Source organism: Homo sapiens, chromosome 1 (assembly GCF_000001405.40).
Source record: "Homo sapiens chromosome 1, GRCh38.p14 Primary Assembly".
In the NCBI taxonomy this organism is placed as follows: Eukaryota; Metazoa; Chordata; class Mammalia; order Primates; family Hominidae; genus Homo; species Homo sapiens.
Window position 1 is genome coordinate 245033979 of NC_000001.11, and position 22762 is coordinate 245056740.

The following is a 22762-nucleotide window of genomic DNA, read 5'->3' on the forward strand; positions in this document are numbered from 1 at the left end:
CCAAAGTGCTGGGATTACAGGCATGAGCCACCACAGCCGGCATCTTTTGTTTTCATCCAACACCTCTGACTCTTTTTTCTCAGCCTCTGCTTTGGGACGATTATCTTTCTATCTGGACTATTAATGTCTGCTAGAGTTTCATCTCCATCCTTCTTTTCATTTACACCCTTTCTGGGAAATCTCTTCCATACCTAAATCTGTATCTTAACCTGGAAAACATTTTTAAAGTCTATATAAAAAAAGCCCTTCTTAGTTCAAAGGTAAAATTTTAGGAAAATTAAATTGAAAACTTATAAGAAAATAACAATAATGGAAACTAGATTTGAAAACAGAAATGACAGGATGGGCGCAGTGGCTCATGCCTGTAATCCCAGCATTTTGGGAGGCCAAGGCAGGCGAATCTTTTGAGGTCAGGAGTTCAAGACCAGCCTGGCCAACATGGCGAAACCCTGTCTCTAATAAAAATACCAAAATTAGCCAGGCATGGTGGCATGCACCTGTAATCCCATCTACTTGGGAGGCTGAGGCAGGAGAATTGCTTGAACCTAGGAGGCAGAGGTTGCAGTGAGCCATCATTGTGCCATTCCACTCCAGCCTGGGTAACAGAATGAGACTCCATCTCAAAAAAAAAAAAAAAAAAAAAAAAAAAGAAAAGAAAATGGAAATGATGTTAGAATCTATGAGATACAACCAAATTAAGACTCATTAAATGCCTATATAAAGAAAAATGAAAGCATGAAGAAAATGAACAGAACATCCAACTCAAAAAAGCTAGGGAAAATAGGTAAACTGAAAGAAAGCAGAAAGGAGAAATTAATGAAGATAAAAACAGAATTAATGGGGTTGGGAAACAGTGTAACAGTAGGAACCAATAAATGAAAGTTTTTTTTTTTTTTTTGCAAAAGTTTAATAGAAAGATAAATCACTAGCAGTGTCTTATTTGGGAAAGGACAAATGCAAGATAACTTGGGAGACAGAATGATTAAAACATAGGAAAATTTCAAATCTAATGAGAGTCATTTGTACAACTCTATACAAGTGAATTTGAACACCTAGCTAAAATGGTCAACTTTCTAGTAAAATACAATTTGCCAGAACCAGTCCTAGTCATATGTATATAGATTGGAAGAGTTAATATTGTTATGATTGCAATACTCCCCAAATTGATTAACAGATTCATTGCAATCTCTATCAAAATCCTGGTTGCCTTTTTTTTTTTTTAAACAAATTGACAGTTAATTCTAAAATTCATATAGAAATGTAAGGGACCTAGAATAGCCAAAACAATCTTGAAAAAGGATAACAAAGTTGGACTCCCATTTCCCGATCTCAAAATTTACTGAAAAGCTACAGTAATTAAGACTGTGATACTGGCATGATGATGTAAGGCTAGACACATGCATCAGTGGAATAGAATTGAGTCTGGAAATAAACCCTTACACTTATGGTCAATTGATCTTCAATAAAGGCGGCAAGACAATTCGATAGAAAAAAGAATAGTCTTTACAACACATGATGCTAGGATGACTGAATATCCACATGCAAATGAATGAAGTTGGACCCTACCACACACCATATATGAAAATTAACTCAAAATGGATAAAAGGGCTGGGCACAGTGGCTCACGCCTGTAATTCCAGCACTTTGGGAGGCCAAGGCAGGCAGATCACCTGAGGTCAGGAGTTCAAGACCAGCCTGGCCAACGTGGTGAAACCCCATTTCTACTAAACATACAAAAATTAGCTGGGCACGGTGGTACACACCTGTAATCCCAGCTACTTGGGAGGCTGAGGCAGGAGAATCGCTGGAACCTGGAAGGCGGGGGTTGCAGTGAGCCGAGATCACACCACTGCACTCCAGTCTGGGCAACAGAGCGAGACTCTGTCTCAAAAAAAAAAAAAAAGAAGAAGAAGAAGAAGATAAAAGATCTCAATAAAGAGCTAAAATCGTAAGACCCTTAGAAGAAAACATTGATGTGAATGTTTGTGACTTTGGATTAGGCAGTGGTTTCTTAGCTATGATACCTAAAACAAGCAACCCAAGACAAAAATAGATAAATTGAATTTCACCAAAATTAAAAACTTTGTGCTTCAAAGGACACTGTCAGGAAGATAAAGAGACAAGCCACAGAGTGGGAGAAAATATTTGCAAATCATATATCTGATAAGGGGTCTAGTACCTGTAATATATAAAAAACTGACAACAATAAAAAGACAACCCAATTAAAATGTGGACAAAGTATTTGAATAGACATTTCTCCAAGGAAGATTATTTAATGGCCAAAACATCACATGAAAATATGCTAAGCATCATTAGTCATCAGGGAAATGCAAATCAAAACCATAGTGAAATACTACTTTAGATCCACTAGGATGGCTGTAATTTTAAAAATGAAAGATAGCAAATGTTGGTGGAAATATAAAATGGTGCAGCCACTTTAGAAAACAGTTTAGTAGTTCTTGGGAAAGTTAAATGTAGAGTTACCATATGACCCAGCAAATTCATTCCTAGGCGTATACTGACGAGAAATGAAAAAATATGTCCATACAAAAACCTGTGGATGAATGATCATAGTAGCATTATTTATACTAGCCAAAAAATAGAAACAACTCATGTCAATCAGGTGATGAATGGATAAATGAAACGTGATGTATTTATAAAATAGAATATTGTTCAGCTATAAAAGGAATGAAGTACTGATGTGTGTTACAACGCGGATGAACCTAGGAAACATTCTGCTAAGTGAAAGAAGCTGGACACAGAAGGCCACATGTGTATGACATTTATATGAAATGTCTAGAGCAGGCAAATCTGTAGACACACAGATCAGTGGTTGTGAGGAGGTAAGGGGAGGGAGGGATGGACGTAGCTGCTAACAGGTATGGGGATTCTTTATGGGGTGATTAAAATGTTCTGGGATTAGATGGTGGTGATGGTAGCTCAACCTTGTGAATATACTAAAGCCACTGGATTACACACTTAAAAAATCAATTGATGAAAAAGCAAAACAAACTGATCTCACAAAGATAGAAACTCTAAACACACCAATTTACATAGAATCATTAGGCAAGTTTTCAGAGTTCTCTCACCAAAAGGCTTCAATCCAGATAGTTTCACAGGATAATTCTATCAAAGAAGAACATTTTAGCTCTAGTGCTACTTCATCTCTTTCAGAGAATACAAAGTAAGTATAATGTTGACACCAAAAACTTAAAAAAGACTGCATTAAAAAATCTTACAAAACAATCTTATGAATATCTGTACAAAAATTGTAGATAAAATGTTAGCAACAAAATTCAGTGGCACACATAAGCAAATGGAGTTTATTCCAGAAATGTAAAAATAGTTCTGTGTTGGGAAGTTTATTAATGTAATTCATCATATAAACAGATCTGTGAAGAAAAATCATAGGATCATCTCTATAGAGGCATTTGACAGAATTCACACATTCATAATTTTGAAGACTCGATAAAGTAGAAATTAAGGACATGATTTCTTAGCATAAAATATGTGTGTTTCAGCCCAAAATCTAGTTTCTTACTTAATAAAGAAGGCACAAACAGCATTTTCATTAATGTCAGGAATAAGATAAAGATATCCGCATTTGCTGTTATTATTTAGTATTGACTAGAGGTATTAAGCAATATAATTATATAGGTGATAACAGACACGTAAGTATTTGACGTTAAATGGTAGAAGGTAGAAAAGATAGAAGAAAGAACTATCTTTATTCACAGATATATGATTAAATATCTGGAAACCTCAAGAAAATAAATGGAAAAACTACAAAGAAAAATAATATTTGCTAAAGTATAGTAGGGAATAAAATTAATACATAGAAATCAAGAGCGTTCACCTATACAAACAATGCCCAGTTGGATGATATAATGGAAAATAAGACTCATTTACAATAGCAACAAAAAAGCTAAAATTTATAGACAAAAATATAACAAAAACCATATAAATGCTACATAATTCAGATAACTTGAAATATATAAAAATAGATGAACAAATAGACATACCATGTTGTTGGATAAGAGGACTTGAAATTATAAAGATGCCAAATAATTCTAAATTAACTTATTAAGTTAACACAGTCTCAATTAAAATATCACCAGATCTTTTCTGGACCTAGATAAGTGAATTTTAATTTTCATATGAGAAATAAGTTAGCAAGAATAGGCAAGAAAACTCTGATAAAGAGTAAGGTGGCCCAGCGTGGTGGCTCACACCTGTAATCCCAGCACTTTGGGAGGCCGAGGCAAGCAGATCACGAGGTCAGGAGATCGAGACCACCCTGGCTAACATGGTGAAACCTTGTCTCTACGAAAAATACAAAAAATTAGCTGGGCATGGTGGCAGGCGCCTGTAGTCCCAGCTACTCAGGAGGCTGAGGCAGGAGAAAGGCATGAACCTGGGAGGCGGAGCTTGCAGTGAGCTGAGACCGTGCCACTGCACTCCAGCCTGGGTGACAGAGTGAGACTCCGTCTCAAAAAAAAAAGTAGGGTGGTGAGTTTAGCTTTGTTTGATATTAAAACATACTACAAATCCTCTATTGTTAAAACAGTATGGCATAATGGATCAATGAAATAGAAAATCCAGAAATTGTTCCAAGTGCATATGGAAAGTTAATATAGGATATAAATAGCATCTCTGATGTGTGAGGAAAACATAGATTTAACTGGATAGCTATTTAGAAAAATATAAAATTGGGTCTGTACTTCATGCTGTATAGTAAGATAAAGTTTGTGTGCAACAAGTATCTAGGTTTAAAACAAAACCTTGTTAAGTATTTAAAAATATGAATGAATTCCATTATAAACTTGGAGTAGGAAAAATAACTCAAAACAAAAGCCAGAAGTAGAAAGATTTTAAAATTTAATAAAATTTTACATAATAAAATTTCAAGCCAAAAAAGAATTATAAAATCAAGAGATAAATAACACCTTGAGAAAAATCTTACATTGTAAATGGCTAATATCCCTGATATTGTGTAAAAGTGGTAACTCTTTTAAAAATATTTGATTAACCAGAAATTTCCATTTCTTGACCACAGAGAAAAAAGGAATCTAGTATGCCATTATTTTGAAATTTAATCTTTTCAGTGCACCCCCTTATTTACTGCATTATTCACAATAGCCAATATAGGGAATTAACCTAAGTGTCCAAACGAATGAATGGATAAGGAAAATGTGATATGTTTACACAGTGAAATACTATCCAGTATTTTAAAAAACATTTTATTTTGAAATAATTTTAGAGTTATATAAATGCAAAAACATAGTACCCAGGATGGGCAACATAATGAAACCTTGTCTCTACAAAAAAAAAAAAAAAAAAAAAAAAAAAAAAAAAGCCAAGTGTGGTGGCACAGTGCTTCCAGCTGCTCAGGAGGTTGAGGTGGTTGGATTGCTTGAACCCAGGAGCTCGAGGCTGCAGTGAGCTATGATGGCATCACTGCACTTCAGAGTGCAACAGAGTGAGACGCTGCCTCTTAAAAAAAAAAAAAAAGAGTTTGTGTATCCTTCACCCCATTCACATCTTACATAACTACACTACAATGATCAAAACCAATAAATTAACGTTGGTTCAGTACCATCAACTGAACTAGAGATGTACTGGAGTTTCACCAATTTCCCACGAATTCCCTCCTCTCTCCCAGGATCCGTGCAGAACGCTGTCCTGCGCTGTTGTCTTGTCTCTTTAGCCCTCCAGTCTGTGACAGTTCCTCTTTCATCACCTTGATACTTTTGAAAAATCCTGCTGAATTCTTTTTTAGAATGTCCCTCAGTTTGGGTTTGCCAGATATTTTCCTGTGATTAGATTGAGCCAGTATATTTTTGGCGAGAATACTACACACAAGTGAGTTTGTGCCCTTCTCAGAGCATCATGTCAGGGAATACATGATGTTGCTCTGCTTTAGTACTGATGATGTTAACCTTAATTGCTTGCTTAAGATAGTGTCTGCCAGGTTTCCCCACAGCAAAGTTATGAATTTTCCTTTTGTATTTGGTAAATACCTTGGAGGAGATACTTTAAGACTGTGCAAATATTGATTCCCCTCAAACTCTGGCCCACAAGTAGCATCCGTTGGTCAATCTTGCCTGTGAATGTTATTACTGTGGTTTTTGCCAAGCGGCGTTTTGGTGTTATTTTTAAAAAGGAAATTCCAGGACAGTGGGCTTGTTCTCATTTTGTTGGGCAGTCGGCAGCCATTGGGCAATGTGGAATTTAGAATTACTTAGGCCTTTCCCAACACAGAAAAATGCCATAGTCTATTAATTCAGTAAACATTTATGGAACCCTTGTTATGACCAAGGCCTCTTGGTGAAATATGCAGACAGCATAGGATCTGGTCTGCACCTGAGTCTTTTTCTCTGCCACTACTTTTCACCTTGAATCACACTCGCCATCAAGATTTGTTCTAAGATGTTATTGCAAAAAGTGCTGAGAGACAAGTCCAGGAGTCAGAGGATAGGACCAATTTCCAATTTTGCCCCAGACTAGCTACGTTACTAGCAGGGCGAGTCAGATATCGTCTCAAAGTTCTAGTCTCCTTATTTTTAAAATAGGGAATATAATATAGATTGACATTAGAATTAAATGAGTGGATATATATGAAAGTACTGTTTAAGTGAAAGGCATTTTTCAAGCTATAAAGTGTTCTACAAATTAATTATTGTCTGGGCACGGTGGCTCATGCCTGTAATCCCAGCACTTTGGGAGGTTGAGGCGGGAGGATCGATTGAGCCCATGAGTTCAGGACCAGCCTGGCCAACATAGTGAGGCCCTGTCTATAAAAAACAAACACACAAACATGAATTACTCAACAAATATTTGATTTCTTATTAAGTGTGAGCTTTTTCTAGGTGTTAGAATATAGCAATGAAAGCCAAAGCCTCTGCCCTCCAGGAACTTATATTTTAGAGGAAAAAGGTGGATAATAGAAAAGTAAACAAGTAATAAATACAATTTCAAATAGTAATAAATGCTACACTGTAAATAAAACAGGATGATGTAACAAAATGTGCTATAAAGAAAATAAAGTAGGATAATACATTAGAGAATTGGGGTGTGTTTAGGTGGGATGGAATAGTTTAGACGTTCTGGTCAGGGAGTGCGTCTCTGGAAGTAATTTTCGAGATAAGAACTTTAAGATTAGGAGTCAGCTGTGTGAAGCAGGGGAGAGCAAATATAAAGGCCCTTTGAAGGGGAAAGGATTAGGATGCTGGAGAAAAGCAAAGAGGATAGTGTACCTGTGAGGTCGCTAGAGAGTGGTGTAAGATCAAGCCAAAAACGTTGGCAGGGCCAAATGACGTAGAGCATTACATGCTGTGAAAAAGAAGTTTCTCGGTGCAGTTGATCAGGAAGAAGTTGACCAGAAAGCCATTGAAGGGTTTTAAGCAGGGCATTACATGTTATGATTTTCATTTTAAAAAGATTGTTCTGGCTGCTGTGAGAATGGATTGAGATGGCCATCAAGAGCAGAAGCAGAATGACAGCCTGTGGTCTATTGCAGTGGTGCAGGCAAGAGGGAATGGTGGCCAGGCAAGCTTGGTGGTGGCAGTAAGTTGTAAGATGTCATTATTGTTATTGTTATGGGCTGAATTACGTCCCCTCCAAATTCGTGTTTTAAAGTCTTAACCTCCAGTATACCTCAGAATGAAACCTTAGTTGGAGATAAGGTCTTTAAAGAGGTGATTAAGTTAAAAAGCCCAAACAAAAGGGAGGTGATTAAGTTAAAATGAGGCCATTGGGGTGGGCCCTAATCCAATCTGACTTGTGTCCTCCTAAGAAGAGGAAGTTTGGACACCCAGAGAGACAGTGGGATGCTCGCGCACAGAGGGGTGACCAGGTGAGGGCACAGGGAGAAAAAGTGGCGCCTACAAATTGAGGAAGGCCCCAGAAGCAGCCGACCTGCTGACACCTTTATCTGGGACCTCTGGCCTCCGGAACCGAGAAAATCAATTTCTGTGGTTTAAGTCACACAGTCTATGGTAATTTGTTATGGCAGCCCTAGCAAACTGATAGAGCTATGACAATCATGGGTATGGTGCTGATCTCTTCATTGTATTTATCACTACCTAAAATTCGCTTAGATTTATTTATGTTTACTCTTTCACTCCCTTGATTGTAAGTTCCATTACAGCAGGGATTTTGTCTAATTCATAGTAATCGCAATGCTGCGGAGTGCCTGCGCCATGGCACATGAAAAGTGACCGTGTGGTTAAATTGTTTCTCAGTCACTCTGTAATATCCAGTATTTTGTAGAGCTTTTGTTTTTAATGATATACAGGAGATCCAGAGTTTTTTAGGGGGCTACAAACTCTAGCACATAGGACTATATAAGAAATAACACTGCAGCAAGTTAGAACCAGGTGTTCAGGAAGCATATCTTAGCAGTGGAGACACGATCTCTTGATTAGAGGGACCTTGGATAAAAGAGGCCTTTTTTGAACAGAATAGCTCTGCTGAAGAAAGAGATTTCGTCATTATTTTACCTTCATTTCATGGCTTTTCCAAAATAAGGTACATGTGTGAAAAATGCCCTCCGTAAGGGCGAGGTCTTTATTTTGTTCTCTGCTGTTCTGTAAACGATACCAGCACATCATAGGGTTCAAATATTTGTTAAATGAATGAAAACATTTTCAGATCCTGCTTTGTCCTTAGACATTTTTGGATTGCTTTAAATGTTCTCTTATCCTTAGCATAATATTAGCTATTTAATAGAGCAGGTAAAATGTTTTGCCTATTTTTTTTTGTCTCTTATAATTGTGTGAAATATTCTGAATCTGGTCTTCACTTTGGTGTTTTTGACCTTAGGCTGCCCTTAAACTGAAGTCACAGCCTAGCTCAATGGCACTGGCTCCCCCTTGTGTCAGGAACTTGATACTACACCCACTAAATGCCAGCCTGCCAAGAACCAAGCTTCCCCGGGTCAAACATTTTAAGTGGTCCAAATGCTATACATAATTAAATGATGACACCACGATTGGGCCACCTTATTGGGGCTCATTTGCTCCAAATAGTCTTACTCCTATGCCCACTACTATATATATAGCACAGGTACAGAAAAACATTTTTAATACTTGTAACCATAAAGGCTTTTGGAGTTAGTTTGTACTTCTTATCAATATAAGACATCTACGTTGACAAAAGAAATCGAATGTTGACTGAGTGCGGTGGCTCACGCCTGCAATACCAGCACTTTGGGAGACCTAGGCGGGCGGATCACTTGAAGTCAGGAGTTTGAGATCAGCCTGGCCAGCATGGTGAAACTCTGTCTCTACTAAAAACACAAAAAATTAGCTGGGCATGGTGGTGGGCACCTGTAATCCCAGCTACTTGGGAGGCTGAGGCAGGAGAATTGCTTGAACCTGGGAAGCGGAGGTTGCAGTGAGCCGAGATTATGCCACTGCACTCCAGCCTGGGCGACAGAGCGAGACTCTGTCTCAAAGGAAAAAAAAAAAGAAAGAAAGAAAAAGAAATCAAATGTCTCAGCATATTTTAAATACTTTATATGGAACAGTTGATTTTCACTTTCTTTCAAAAGCCTACCAAAATTGAGGAGTTAGCGTTTTTTTAATCCCATGAAATCGATTTAAAAGGAAGAAAATTATTTTTCAAAGGGACAACATTTTATTTTCAAGAGTAGTATTTGATTTCTGTTTTGTGTACATGGTAGAATACTGAGTGAGTTGCTCCTGGCCACTCTCGCTGTTGAGGAGATGAACCCGTGCAGGGACGGCCCCAGGAAGGCCTCTTTAGCTGTCTGAATGAAGTGATTTTGACTCTCAGCGTCAGTGGTGTGCTGGAGCCAGACCGTGCCGACTTATCCCAGCTCACAAGAGCTAATGGCTAAATTTCAGGAGTTCTGCAAACTATTGTTAAAGCTAGTTTATATTAGAAATAAATTATATAGACAATTCAGTTATATTAAAAAACAAGGGTGCTTTCTTCAGCAGCACTTATCTAAGATCAGAACAACATCGAGAAGATGAGCGTGGCACCTACACAGGCTGGCACACACATTTGTGAAGCGTTCCATATTTTTTCAGGTTATTCTGTATTAAATGCAAAATAAATGCTTTTATTAACAATGACAAAAAGAAAGGTAATTGTAATAAATACAATTTACCACTTCGTAATTACTTTATTATATTTTACTCATACTTTGAGGTTATTTGTGTCTAGTGTATGTGTGGTGGATGTACCATATAATGGTATGCTATTGTCATTTCTTCCAGACTCCACCTTTAGTGATTTCATGTTTGTAATTGGCAGCTTGAAATCGATCTTGGAACAATGGAAATAAAACCACAATGGAAATAAAAAAGGATCCAAATCAGGACTTTTTGCCTATGAGGAGCCAGTGATAACCAGCCCATTACTATATGCAAAACGAGTTTATATGTTTTTTCTCTACTCCAAAAACTTAACAAAAGAAGGAATTATTAAACTTTAAAAAACGATTTTAATTTTATTTTACTACATTGGTTTCAGTTTTTTATTTTATTTTATCATTTATTTATTTATTTTTGAGACGGAGTCTCACTCTGTCGCCCAGGCTGGATTTATTTATTTATTTATTTATTTATTTATTTATTTACTTTTTTTGAGACGGAGTCTCGTTCTGTTGCCCAGGCTGGAGTGCAGTGGCACCATCTCGGCTCTACCTCCCGGGTTCAAGGGATTCTCCTGCCTCAGCCTCCTTAGTAGGTGGGATTACAGGCGCCTGCCACCACGCCTGGCTATTTGTGTGTGTGTGTTTGTGTATTTTTAGTAGAGATGGCATTTCACCATGTTGGTCAGGCTGGTCTTGAACTCCTGACCTCAAGTGATCCACCTACCTCGGTACCCCCTCCCCCGACCCAGCCCCAACAAAGTGCTGGGATTACAGGTGTGAGCCACCATGGCTGGCTTGGTTTCAGTTTTTTAAATAGTTTTTTGAAAAGATAACTTCAATAATTTAAATTCTTTAATAATTTTAATAATGTTAAAAATGGTTTTAAAAGGTTGCTTTAATTTAATTGAATTTATTTATGTTGAGACAGAGTCTTGTTCTGTCACCCAGGCTGCCGTGTGATGGCAGCATCACAGAGCTCACTGCAGCTTCAACCTCACCTGCTCAAGTCATCCTCCCATCTCAGCCTCCAGGGTAGCTGGAACTACAGCCACACACCACCATGCCTGGCTAATTTTACATTTTTTTGTAGAAACAGGTTCTTACTGTATTGCTCAGGGTGGTCTTGAACTCCTGGACACAGGTGGTCCTCCCGCCTCAGCCTTCCACAGTGCTGGGATCACAGGTGTGAGCCACCTTGCCTTGTCACTGGTCGAGGGTTGTGACTGCAAGTTGTCCAGGTTCTTGGCATTTTGAACAAAGAATTGGACAAAATGCCCAGCAAAGCAAAGCAAAGTATGAAGCAACAAAAGAACAAAAGCAGGGATTCATTGAAAATGAAAGTACACTCCACAGTGTGGGAGTGGGCCAGAGCAGCAGCTCCAGGGTCCAGATGCAGAATCTTCTTGGGTCCAAATACCCGCTAGCAGTTTTCCATTGGCCACTTCACGTCCATCTCATGTAAATGAAGTGCTAGCCCACAGTCAGTCTGAATGGTTGCAGAAAGCAGCCAACCAGAGGCTGAAGTGAAGTTACAAAGGTCACACCCCTGTGCAAACAGGAGTTGGTTTTCGCAGCCAATCAGAGGCTAGGGTGAAGTTACAAAGTTATACCTCTGTGCAAACAGACTTGGCAGGCCATTAGTCTGACTGGTTGTGGACAGCAGCCATCGGTCTGACTGGTTGTGGACAGCAACCATTCAGAGGCCGGAGTGAACAAAGATGCAAACGAAGACTCAACCCGCAGTCAGTCTGGTTTGTTGCAGACAGCCAATTTCCCATCTGCCTACCAGAAAAGGTAGTGAGTTTGCAAAGGGAGTAGCCTCTGGTCCTTTTGTTACTTAGGCTGGAAAGTTAGGGTTTTCCTTTCAATTTAGTTCTAGGAAGTCAGTGTGAAATAGCCTTAGGATCCCTGCCTCCAGACCCTATTGCCCTGCCTCAGCCTGGCCTAAAAGCTTTACTTGAATCTTCAATCAATTCACTTAATTCAAAGTTTCATTTAGTAGAAATAGGTTAACCAACCTTAATATTATATATGATTTTATCAATTATGTTATATTTTTGTTTCATTTTCTAGTTCCTGTCTAATGTCTTGTTTTCTTATTTCTAAACTTCTTTCTTTTATTTTCATCATTAAGCTATGAATTTTTTTCCTATCTCCTGTAACTTTCTTTTCACTTATTTCAGTGTTTTTACATTTTTCTCTTCAGCTGTCTCCCTTTGCAGACAGACCTCGATCTCTTTCTCAGAATTAATGGCCTCATATTTTCCTGACCTGTGCTCCTTCTCGCTGTCTCTTTTATTCTTAGCTCACCTTTAGGATCCTCACTACTCCTGAGGCTGAACTGTTAGCAATACGGTTTCCTCCACTGTGGCCAGGATCCCAGCTCCATCCGGATACCATCTGGACATGTGCAGGGCTCACCTGGCCCCTTCTGCTGTTTTCCCATGTCTTTGGCACCAGAAATACGATGCGAGGATAGTGCATAGGATCATTCGGTCATTTTTGCCTCTAGCCCCGTATTTCAGAACATGGGAGGACAAGAGAAGCTCTGAGTCGTTTTTGCTTCTGCTGTAATTTGTTTTTATTCTCATCTCAAGGAATTTGGAAGTCCTTTTGAAATAAATGCATCTCATTTCATTATCATTTGAGGAAAGAGACATTTGAGAGGAAAGGGCGATTAATATTTAAACACCACCTCCCTTCCCCTACCTCATTTGCCCTTGTATTTTTTTCTTCTCACTCGCTCTCTTATATTGCCTTTACTGGGCAACTATGTCAACAAATTGCCACTGAAAGGCACCTGACTGGTGAGCTGCCTTGAGCTGAGGTCAGTGTGATCCTTCAGCTGGGAGCCGCTGCTCCGTTTTAGAGGGCGAGCCATTGCTACCGCTGATGAGCTGAGCCTGGGGCTCAACGAGTCCATCTGAAAAGCCATCTCTCTTCCAGCAGCAGGGAGCCACTCGCAGTGCTGCTTTCATCAGCCTTCGTGAAGGATGAAAAGGGCTTCGTCTTTTCCACACACACTTGACTCCAGCAGCGTGGGGGTTTGGAGCACTGATCTCCCCTACCGTTGAAAACCCACGTGTAACTTTTGACTCTCCCAAAACACAACTAACAGCCTGCTGTGGACTGAAAACCTTACTGATAACATAAATGTCAATTAACACATATTTTATATGTTATATGGATTATCTACTGTATTCTTACACTAAAGTAAACTAATGTTACTTTAATAAGAGAGAACATTAGGCCAGGCGCAGTGGCTCACGCCTGTAATCCTAGCACTTTGGGAGGCTAAGGCAGGTGGATCACTTGAGGCCAAGAGTTCAAGACCAGCCTGGCCAACATGGTAAAACCCCATCTCCACTAAAAATACAAAACTTAGCCAGGCGTGGTGGCGGGCGCCTGTAATTCCAGCTACTTAGGAGGCTGAGGCAGGAGAATCGCTTGAACCTGGGAGGTGGAGGTTGTAGAGAGCTGAGATGGTGCCACGGCACTCCAGCCTGGTCGAGAGAGCTAGACTCCATCTCCAAAAAAAAAAAAAAACGAAAAAGAAAATGTTATTAAGAAAATCATAAGGGGCTGGTGCAGTGGCTCATGCCTGCAATCCCAGCACTGGCACTTTGGAAGGCCAAAGCAGGTGGATCACTTGAGGTCAGGAGTTTGAGACTAGCTTGGCCAACATGGTGAAACCTCGTCTCTACTAAAAATAAAAAAATAAACTTAGTGGAACATGGTGACACGTACCTGTAATCTCTTATTTGAGAGGCTGCGGCAGGGGAATCGCTTGAACCCCAGAGGCGGAGGTTGCAGTGAGCTGAGATGGTGCCACTGCACTCCAGCCTGGGTGAGAGAGCTGGACTCTGTCTCAAAAAAAAAAAAAAAAAAAGGAAGAGAAAATATATTTACTCCTCCTTAAGAGGAGGTGGATCATCATAAAGGTCTTGATTATCATCTTCACATGGAGGAGGCTGAGGAGGAGGAGGAGGAGGAAGAGGGGTTGGTCTTGTTTCGAGTGGCAGAGGCAGGAGAAAATCCACATCTAAGTGGGCTTGTGTTGTTCACACCATGTTGTTGAAGGGTCCACTGTGCCTTTCTTTTACCTGCAAGGAATGGTAGGCTGATACACAGCCTCATCTCAACTTTTACTTCAGGAAACAATATTTTAGGTCTATCCAGGGTCTCCAAGTTTCTGAAGTACTGAGTGAAAATGTTGTAACTAATATATTTTGTTATGAAACTGAGGATTAAGACATCCTTCATAACCAGCTTCTGAAGCCAAAGTGATACAGATAGTATAACACCAGAGTAAATTGTTGTATAAGTAGTTTATGTATATGAGGCAGGGTTTCTGTTATCCTTTGTTATTACTGTGGTTTTGATGGATGAGAGTGAAATGTGCTTATCTTGTTTTTTTTTTAAATAAAATCTTTTTATTTAAAAAATTTCAAACTTCTAAACGGTAAGAGTGTTGCCCTGAACTCCTGCACACTTTTACTTAGATTCGCCAATCCCTCATGATCTGCCACATTTGTTTTTGCCTCCTCTTTCTCCTTCTCCCTCTCTCCCCCGTTTCTCTCTATATATGCACAAACACACATACCTATTTATACATTTTATTATTATTGTTATTTTCATCATCACCATTTTGCTAGACTATTTGAGAGTAAACTGTAAACATTGTAACCTTTCCCTGAAATGCTTCACTGTGGATCTTCTTTCTTTCTTTCTTTCTTTTTGGAGAAAGGTGTCTTGCTATATTGTCCAGGTGGGAAATGGACATGAACTCCTGGGCTCAAGTGGTCCTCCCACCCCAGTTTCCCAAGTAGCTGGGACTATAGGTGTGCACCGCTGGGGTCTTCCTTTCTTTCTTTTTCTTTTCTTTTTTTTTTTTTTTTTGAGACAGAGTCCCACTCCATCACCCAGATGGGAGTGCAGTAGCTCGATCTCGACTCACGCAACCTCCACCTCCCAGGTTCAAGTGATTCTCATGCCTCAGCCTCTCGAGTAGCTGGACTTACAGGTGTGTACCACTACAGCTGGCTAATTTTTGTATTTCTAGTAGAGACAAAGTTTTGCCATGTGGGCCAGGCTGGTCTCCAACTCCTGGCCTCAAGTGATCCACCCACCTCGGCCTCCCAGAGTGCTGGGATTACAGGCATGAGCCACCGTGCCCAGCCTCAGTGTAGGTCTTCTAAGACAAGAACATTCTCTTACATAAGCCACAGTGTCTGTGTGTGCTCTTAAAAATAACCTTAGAGTCAGATCACTTGGGTTAAGGTGTCATTTGGCTCATTCCTCTGCTTCTTGCAGGTGCATTTCTAAACAGTACAAAACTGATATTTTCTGGGAGTGATAGACCGAAATTCTTATGGGGGCCAGCCTGTGATATAAAAGTGAGAATCTGACAGAGTTCATACTGTACTCATGACATGTATGTATGCCCCACCTAAACAAATAAACACGCCAATCCTAGACTAAAAAAAAACTGTAATAAGAAAAAATCATCAACAACAACAACAACAAAAATACCCGATGGCCAAATTTGTCACTTGGGTCAACAATTTGCGGCCCTGGATCTACGGTCAAAGCTCCCGTGGGGTGGAATATCCACAGCTTTCTTTGGAAGCACTGTGGTATAGTTCAGAAGTTCTCCTTTAAGTCCAAGTGCTTGACTGAGATTTGTGAGAGGCAGCAGTCGCAGTGGCAGGTAGCATGAGAGCTAGGCTGTGTGTGTGAATCCCGTTTCCACCATTTGCTACCGGTGTGATCTTGGGAAAATGTCTTAACCTTTCTGTGGTTCACTTTTCCTCATCTGTAAAATAGTACCTTTCACACAAAGCTGTCATGAGGAAGAAGTGAGGAAGAATATTTAAAGCACCTTACACCAGAGTCTGGCACGCGTAATAAGTCACTGTAGAACTGGATTCTGCGAAGACGAACCTGATGGCTAGAGGCCATCACATCCATGCAGATCATGATCCTGGTATAAGGGGAGAGGGATGTGAGGACTGTTCCTCCTGGAAGACCTAGAGAAGATGTTCATTCTTGAGCCAGAAAGCTACTTAATCTACTTTTCTCCCATTGGGAGTGACTTTCTTTTGTTCTTATCCCCGTTGTCTTTTTTTTCTTTTTTCTTTTCCCTTTTTTTATTAGACGGATTTTCGCTCTTGTTAGTAGAGATGGGGTTTCACCATGCTGGCCAGGCTGGTCTCGAACTCCTGACCTCAGGTGATCTGCCCACCTTGGCTTCCCAAACTCCTGGGATAACAGGCGTGACCCACCGCGCCCAGCCCTCATCCCCGTTTTCTACTCATCCTTCTTGTCAGACTTCTCCCCAGCTCTCTCCTATATTTCCCTAGTGCTGAGGGGGTCACTGCTTGAATATTAACTCTACGTGATCCCTGACAAGTTATTTAATGTCTTTGAGCTTTAGTTTTCTATCTGTAAAGTGGGGACAATAATAGTACCTACCTCCTAGTTGTTGTGAGGGTTCAGTGAGTTAATGTAGGGATTACTGTGTCAGGACAGTCCCTGGCACACAGTAAGTGCTGTGGAACTCTCAGCTATTGGGTAGGATGTGCATCATTCTCTTTAATAGCCATATTCCTCCACGGTGTACTCTATACTTGTGATCTCAATTTTCTTTTTGCTGGCTCTTTTTTGGAGTTTTTTCTTCCTCTTTTTCTCCTCTGCAAGTGCTCTTATTGAGGTCAGTCCTCTTCTTTTTGTCCAGATCTAAGATTCTGCTTATTCTCTTAGCCTTCTGAAATATTTTATTTTTTTACTTTGAGACAGGGTTTCACTCTGTTGCCTAGGCTGGAGTGCAGTGCCACGATCTCGGTTCACTGCAGCCTCAACCTCCTGGGCTCAAGCAATCCTCCCCCAAGTAGCTGGGACTACAGGCATGCGCCACCATACCCCAATAATTTTTAAAAAATTTTTGGTAGAGATGGGGACTTGCCATGTTGTCCAGGCCACCTTCTGTAATACTTTAAACTGTAGCAACCTGGCCAGGCTCATGCCTGTAATCCCACTACTTTGGGAGGCTGAGGTAGGAGGATTGCTTGATCCCAGGAGTTCAAGACCAGCCTGGGCAACATAGCAAGACTCTGTCTCTATTAAGAAAAAAAAAAAATCAGCTGGGCATGATGGTGTGTACTTGTAGTCTCAGTTGCTCGGAAGGCTGAAGCAGGAGAATCGCTTGAGCCCAGGAGTTTGAGTATGTAGTGAGTGTGATCGTGCCACTTCTCCAGCCTGGGTAACAGAGCAGACCCCATCTCCTCAATCCCCCCCACCCAAAAGGAAGACAAAACCATCGATATTATTTTGCAGCCAGAAGCTTGGGGGTAGGGGACAGTAAGGAGGTTATTGGAGAAAGGGAAGTGGAGATGAGGAGGGAAGGGAGGGAGTGGGAGGGAGACACTGGCTGATTGGCTGAGCAGTGGAGAGCTACCGATGGCAGGATTCTGCAGCGCGGTGAGGCATGGGGTGGATGTTGCGAAATGAAGCTGGCGGTTACAAGATAAGCCATTTAGAAGAAGTGTTGTGATTAGTGAAAGGAAGCCGGGAAATAGAATAGAGTGGCGAAGCACCTATCAAGTTTTTTCAAGATAAGGAAGATACCTGAATATTTTAAGGCAAAAGAGGAAACAGCTAATAAAGAAAATAATGAAGATGCTGAGAGGGAGAGGTAATTGTGTGAAGAACAAGAGCTGAGTGTGGAAACGAAAAACTAAGAGGGAGATTTGCTTCTTTGAGGAGGAGCACTTTTTATTTCTCCAAGGCTACGAGCACGAGGCAAGAGCTATAGGACATTCCTCTAAAGTGGTACAAAGTCAGCGACTGTAAAGGTGACGTGAGGATTAATAATAGCACCCAGTGATCGTGCAGTTCACATCTGTTGAGTGCAGTGGGTGATAAGGACGTTTTCTGAGATGAAGGGAGGGAAGTGGGTGATAAGGACGTTTTCTGAGATGAAGGGAGGGAGTACTTTGGAGCTTGAGGCAAGAGATGCTGCAGAATAGCTGTTTTGAGGGAGTTTGCCAGGAAGTCAACAGACGACTGAGCGGATTGTTAGGCAACACCCAGGACAGATTTGATGTTGGATGGGGGTGAATTTGTCATAGGCCACGCTTTTTTATTTTATTATTTATTGCAGCAGTGCTTTGCAGGAACAAAGAAAGTGAAAATTGAGATGTTCAGGATTATGGACTAACAGCAGGCAGGATGGAGGGTGAAGGGCCCAGAGTTCAGGGTGGTGACAGTGGCCATTTTGAGTGGCTGAGTGTAGAGGACTGAGCAGCCGTGTGTAGATTAACTGCCAAGCACAGCTGCGTGAGTGAGCCTAGGCCAAGCTAGCGGAGGAACCACGCAGCCAACCCGCAGGATGGCGGAAAAGAATAAGCCGTGGTTGATTCCATCACTCTGTGGCGGGCAGCTTGTTACACAGCAGTAGAAGATGCATGCCATGCCTTGTGTTGACTGCGCACAGCAGGGAGCCTGAGGCAAGGGAGCCTGGCACAGAAGCAGAGGTCAGTCGGCTGGAGAAGCTGGGCAGGTGGAGAAGAATAGAGGGGGCCTCTGGGGAGCACCCAGAAATACCCAGCAGCTCTGGAGAAGTGCAGGTTTTAGAATGTGAGAGTGAGAAGGAGGCTTGCCATCTTGAGAGATACACACCTGGTGGCAAGTTGTGGTGACGGTAAGTGCTGGAGGGAGCGCAGCCACAGCTCAGACTGTCTCTTTTCTTCCGTGCCATTCACTCTCAGCAGAGGACCTTGCCTTGTACTACACAGAGGACAGAGAAGTCTTTTTATGTGAGTTTCTTCATCATCCCATTTCCAAAGACAAACTAGGGATACAGATATGAATTGTATGATAAAACTTGAGATAACAGATAAGTCACATTACTTTTCTAAGTCTGATTAAATCTTGTGCCCCTACTTGTCAAGACCAATAAAAAGTTAGTAGTTTTCGTGGCTTCTTTTTGGCTCTTATATTGTACAGTAAGTCTTCTCTTAACCTTTCAATCAGTTGTTGGAAACTGCGACTTTAAATGAAATGATGTACAGCAAGTCTTTGAATAATGTTGTTACAAAGTTGATGAGAAAAAAAAATGGTTTTGTTATATGTCCTTTTGCTTACGGTTGTAGTTTCCAAGAACCCATCAATGATACTCAGAGAAGACTTGCTGTTCTGGGACTCCAAGGCTTAGTGCAGTCTCTGGGGGAAACTGGAGAGAGGAAAAGCATTGTGCTCATGAGCTGTCTAGGCCTGAGACAGGGACAGCATCCGTGTCGTCTGCACCAGGCTCAGCCACAGGGAGCCTTAGCACAGCTTCCAGGGCCCCAGAGCTCAATGGAGAGATTAGCTTTCCATAAGAGGAAGGAACCTCATCCAGTGCAGTAGAGGAAAAGAGAAGAACATAGGTGAGATATAGGTGGGCTAGTGGAGCAGTTTGTAGGTGTACAGGGAGAGTTCTTGAGGAAGCCGTGGTATTGTTCTTCAGGCCACTGTGGCCTCATCAGCAAAAGAATCTTTGCCTTTTTTTCTTATATCATCAGGCCTTTGTGATTCGAGACTAGAGAGAAAGAAGTTGCTTAATGCCTGCAAGATGTCAATCACGTGGGCTTTGTTTTCTGGGGTCTACCCGGGCAGGTGAGACCATAGCAGATTCGCTCAGCAGAGAAGAGGATGGTGATGGGTTCCTCAAGGGGATGTGAAAGAGGGAGAGGGAAATTTCCTATGATAGGGAAGAACTTGCCATTCTCTCACATGTAGCACCTTGCAGGCGGCAGGACCTAGGATGGGGGTGGCTGGAAGAACACTGAGCGCTAAGTGCCTGGCCAAGGCCCTCCCACCCTCTCAGGAAACCCACCCACCCAGTGAACAACGCCCGCATCAGCCTTCTTTGCACGGGCTCTTTCCCAGTAGCATTAAAATATGCTCACATCATTCAGGTCTTCAGTATCAAAAAAGAAAAAACATCCTCTTTAACACCATGTTCCTCTCCAGACACCCCTTCCCTCCCCTTTACTTCTGTTTGTTTTTTGGGGTTTTTGTTTGTTTGTTTTTTGATGTGGGGGTCTGTGTATGTTGCCCACGCTGGAGTGCCAAGTCAGTGTCTGTTCACATCACGATCTCTGCTCACTGCAACCTTCGCCCCCACTTCCTCTGGGCTCAAGTGATCCTCACGCCTCAGCCTCATGAGTAGCTGGGACTACCGGCATCTGTCACCATGCCTGACTTCTCCCTTTCACTTCTTAGATCCTCCTTGACCCACTGCAATCTAATTTCTCCTCCACCTTCAACGGAGAGTGCCCTTGTCAAAATCATAGCTGATCTCCTTTTTTACTAACTCCAGTGGCTGTTTCTCAGAATTTACCTCCCTCGACCTCTCAGCAGCATCGGAAAGCCAAGGATGACTTTCCATTTTTTTTCTCCTTAGCCTCCACGCCCCGGCCCTCTCCTGGATGTTCACTTCCCTCTCTGGCTGCTCTGCTCCATCTCTCATGCGGGTTCCTCTTTCTTGGATCGTTCCTTGAATGTGGGTACTCCTCAGACCTCTTCCTTCTCTTTCCCAGCCAATACATTCTACGTAGAGGAGCTCTTCTGCTCCTGTGGCTTCATGACCGGATCCACGTCTCCAGCCAGATCCTTCTCCTGCACTTCGCACTCTTATGAGTATCAAGTCTGTGGTTTGATTTTACCCCACTTGTAAGCTAGCAAGTTAGCTTGTTACTGTCTCATGGATGTTGGCACAAGACTTGAGACTCCTGAGTCAGTGACAAAGGACTTCATTCCTCTTGGCACAGCAGGCAACATGAGCATCAGCTTGTGGGTGACAGTTACTCCTGCCCTCACCTTTTCCTGGTGATGGGCCCAGCTGGATGCCTGCACAGGAAATGGGTGGCATCACAGAAAGGGAACAGAGCTTTCAGAACAGAGAATTTCAGGGAACAGAACAGGGGATATCTACTGCTTTTATAGCAAGCAGGAAGCAAGCCTGCTCTTTGGCCTGGAGGGAGACATTATGTCATCTCTCGAGGCTGCTCACTGCGGCATAGCCCTGAGAGATGGTCAGGGTTTTCATGGCATAACCAGCAAGAACAAGCATGTTGGAAATTCAACATGTCCCAGATTGAACTCTTCATTTCCCTTCACCTAAACTTTTTTACTTCCTTTTTAAAAATTTATTTTTATTTATTTTGCACATTTATTGGTATTTCTTTTAGAGACACGATCTCACTCTGTCACCCAGGCTGGAGTACAATTGCAGGATCATAGTCCACTGCAGCCTTGAACTCCTCGGCTCAACCGATCCTGCCATCTCTGTCTCCTGAGTAGCTGGGACTACAGGCACGTGCCACCACACTCGACTAATTTTTAAAATTTTTTGTAGACATGGCAGTCTTGCTGTGTTGCCCAGGCTGGTCTTGAAATCCTGGCCTCAAGTGATCCTCCCACCCACAGCCTCCCAGAGTGCTGGGATTACAGATGTGAGCCACCGCGCCTGGCCTGTTTCTCCTTCTATTTTCTGAACTCAGTGATTGATGCAGTCCTCGATATTTGTAACTCATTACCAACTGATAAGAAATTCTTAACTCTTTTGACTTTCCTCTCCCTCATGAAGTCTGATGACTCCTTCGAACTCTCTCTTAGGTTTATTTGCTCTTCTTGCCGCTCGCTGCCTATCCCTGGGTCAGACTGTGCTTCTCTTATGTGTTTAAGACAATTACAGCCTTTTATCATCCAGCTAGAATATTCATTTTATGAAGTTGTAAGTTGTTTTATTACGAAATGTTTTTAGAGACAGGGTCTTGCTGTGCTGCCCAGGTGGAGTGCAGTGGCCATTTACAGGTGTGTAATAGCTCACTGCAGCCTTGAACCCCTGGCCTCCAGCCGTCCTCCTGCCCCAGCCTTCCTAGTAGCTGAGACTAAGTTACTTAATTTAAAATGTATGTATTCATTTGTTTGTAATTCAAAAGATTCAAAAGGTAGATGCTGAAAAGACTTCCTCCAGCCTTTGCCCCTGCCACCTGCTCTCCTCCAAGGCATTCTCCACCCTCCAGTTAATGTTACCAGCTCCTCCTGTATCCTGTTAATACTGTACCCAAGGTAGACATTTTATACTCAGGTTACTCAAGTACCGTATGTGAGATTGTGACACAAATTTCCATACCTTACATTTGCTTAATACTTTTTTTTTTGAGACAGATTCTCACTCTGTTGCCCAGGCTGGAGAGCAGTGGTGCCATCTCAGCTCACTGCAACCTCCGCCTCCTGCGTTCAAGCGATTCTCCTGCCTCAGCCTCCTGAGTAGCTGGGAGTGTCCCAGAGAGGAACATGGAGGCTTCTGTTGCTGACACAGCACAGTGGAATTCTCACTTTCTCCTTATCTGCTCTCTTCTCAGTCTGACTCCAGATGGAAGCTCTTCCCTAGAAAAGCCCTGTCCAGAAGGAGTTTGCATAGTCTATCATTTTCCATTTTCTGTTAGCCACATTTTTTCAAGTAAAAAAGAAACAGGTGTTGGAAGAAAAACTTTAGACAAGGCCGGGTGTGGTGGCTCACGCCTGTAATCCCAGCACTTTGGGAGGCTGAGGTGGGTGGATCACGAGGTCAAGAAATCAAGACCA

At 41.8% G+C, this 22762-nt stretch overlaps 1 protein-coding gene and 1 pseudogene across 22 annotated transcripts in view, besides 3 other annotated features; both read left to right on the plus strand.

The window, feature by feature from the left end:
- DRC8 (dynein regulatory complex subunit 8) overlaps positions 1-22762 on the plus strand; it is a 155548-nt gene that overhangs the window by 64297 nt on the left and 68489 nt on the right. The window lies entirely within an intron of this gene.
- On the plus strand, positions 9950-10054 carry RNU6-999P (RNA, U6 small nuclear 999, pseudogene; annotated as a pseudogene).
- Positions 12552-13052: an enhancer, noted in NCBI's record as "NANOG-H3K27ac hESC enhancer chr1:245209832-245210332 (GRCh37/hg19 assembly coordinates)". NCBI's record gives its function as "activates a minimal SCP1, AML or CMV promoter by ChIP-STARR-seq in naive H9 embryonic stem cells {active_cell/tissue: H9 hESC(naive)}" and the evidence as "EXISTENCE:reporter gene assay evidence [ECO:0000049][PMID:30033119]".
- Positions 13053-13553: an enhancer, noted in NCBI's record as "NANOG-H3K27ac hESC enhancer chr1:245210333-245210833 (GRCh37/hg19 assembly coordinates)". NCBI's record gives its function as "activates a minimal SCP1, AML or CMV promoter by ChIP-STARR-seq in naive H9 embryonic stem cells {active_cell/tissue: H9 hESC(naive)}" and the evidence as "EXISTENCE:reporter gene assay evidence [ECO:0000049][PMID:30033119]".
- Positions 18097-18598: an enhancer, noted in NCBI's record as "H3K4me1 hESC enhancer chr1:245215377-245215878 (GRCh37/hg19 assembly coordinates)". NCBI's record gives its function as "activates a minimal SCP1, AML or CMV promoter by ChIP-STARR-seq in primed H9 embryonic stem cells {active_cell/tissue: H9 hESC(primed)}" and the evidence as "EXISTENCE:reporter gene assay evidence [ECO:0000049][PMID:30033119]".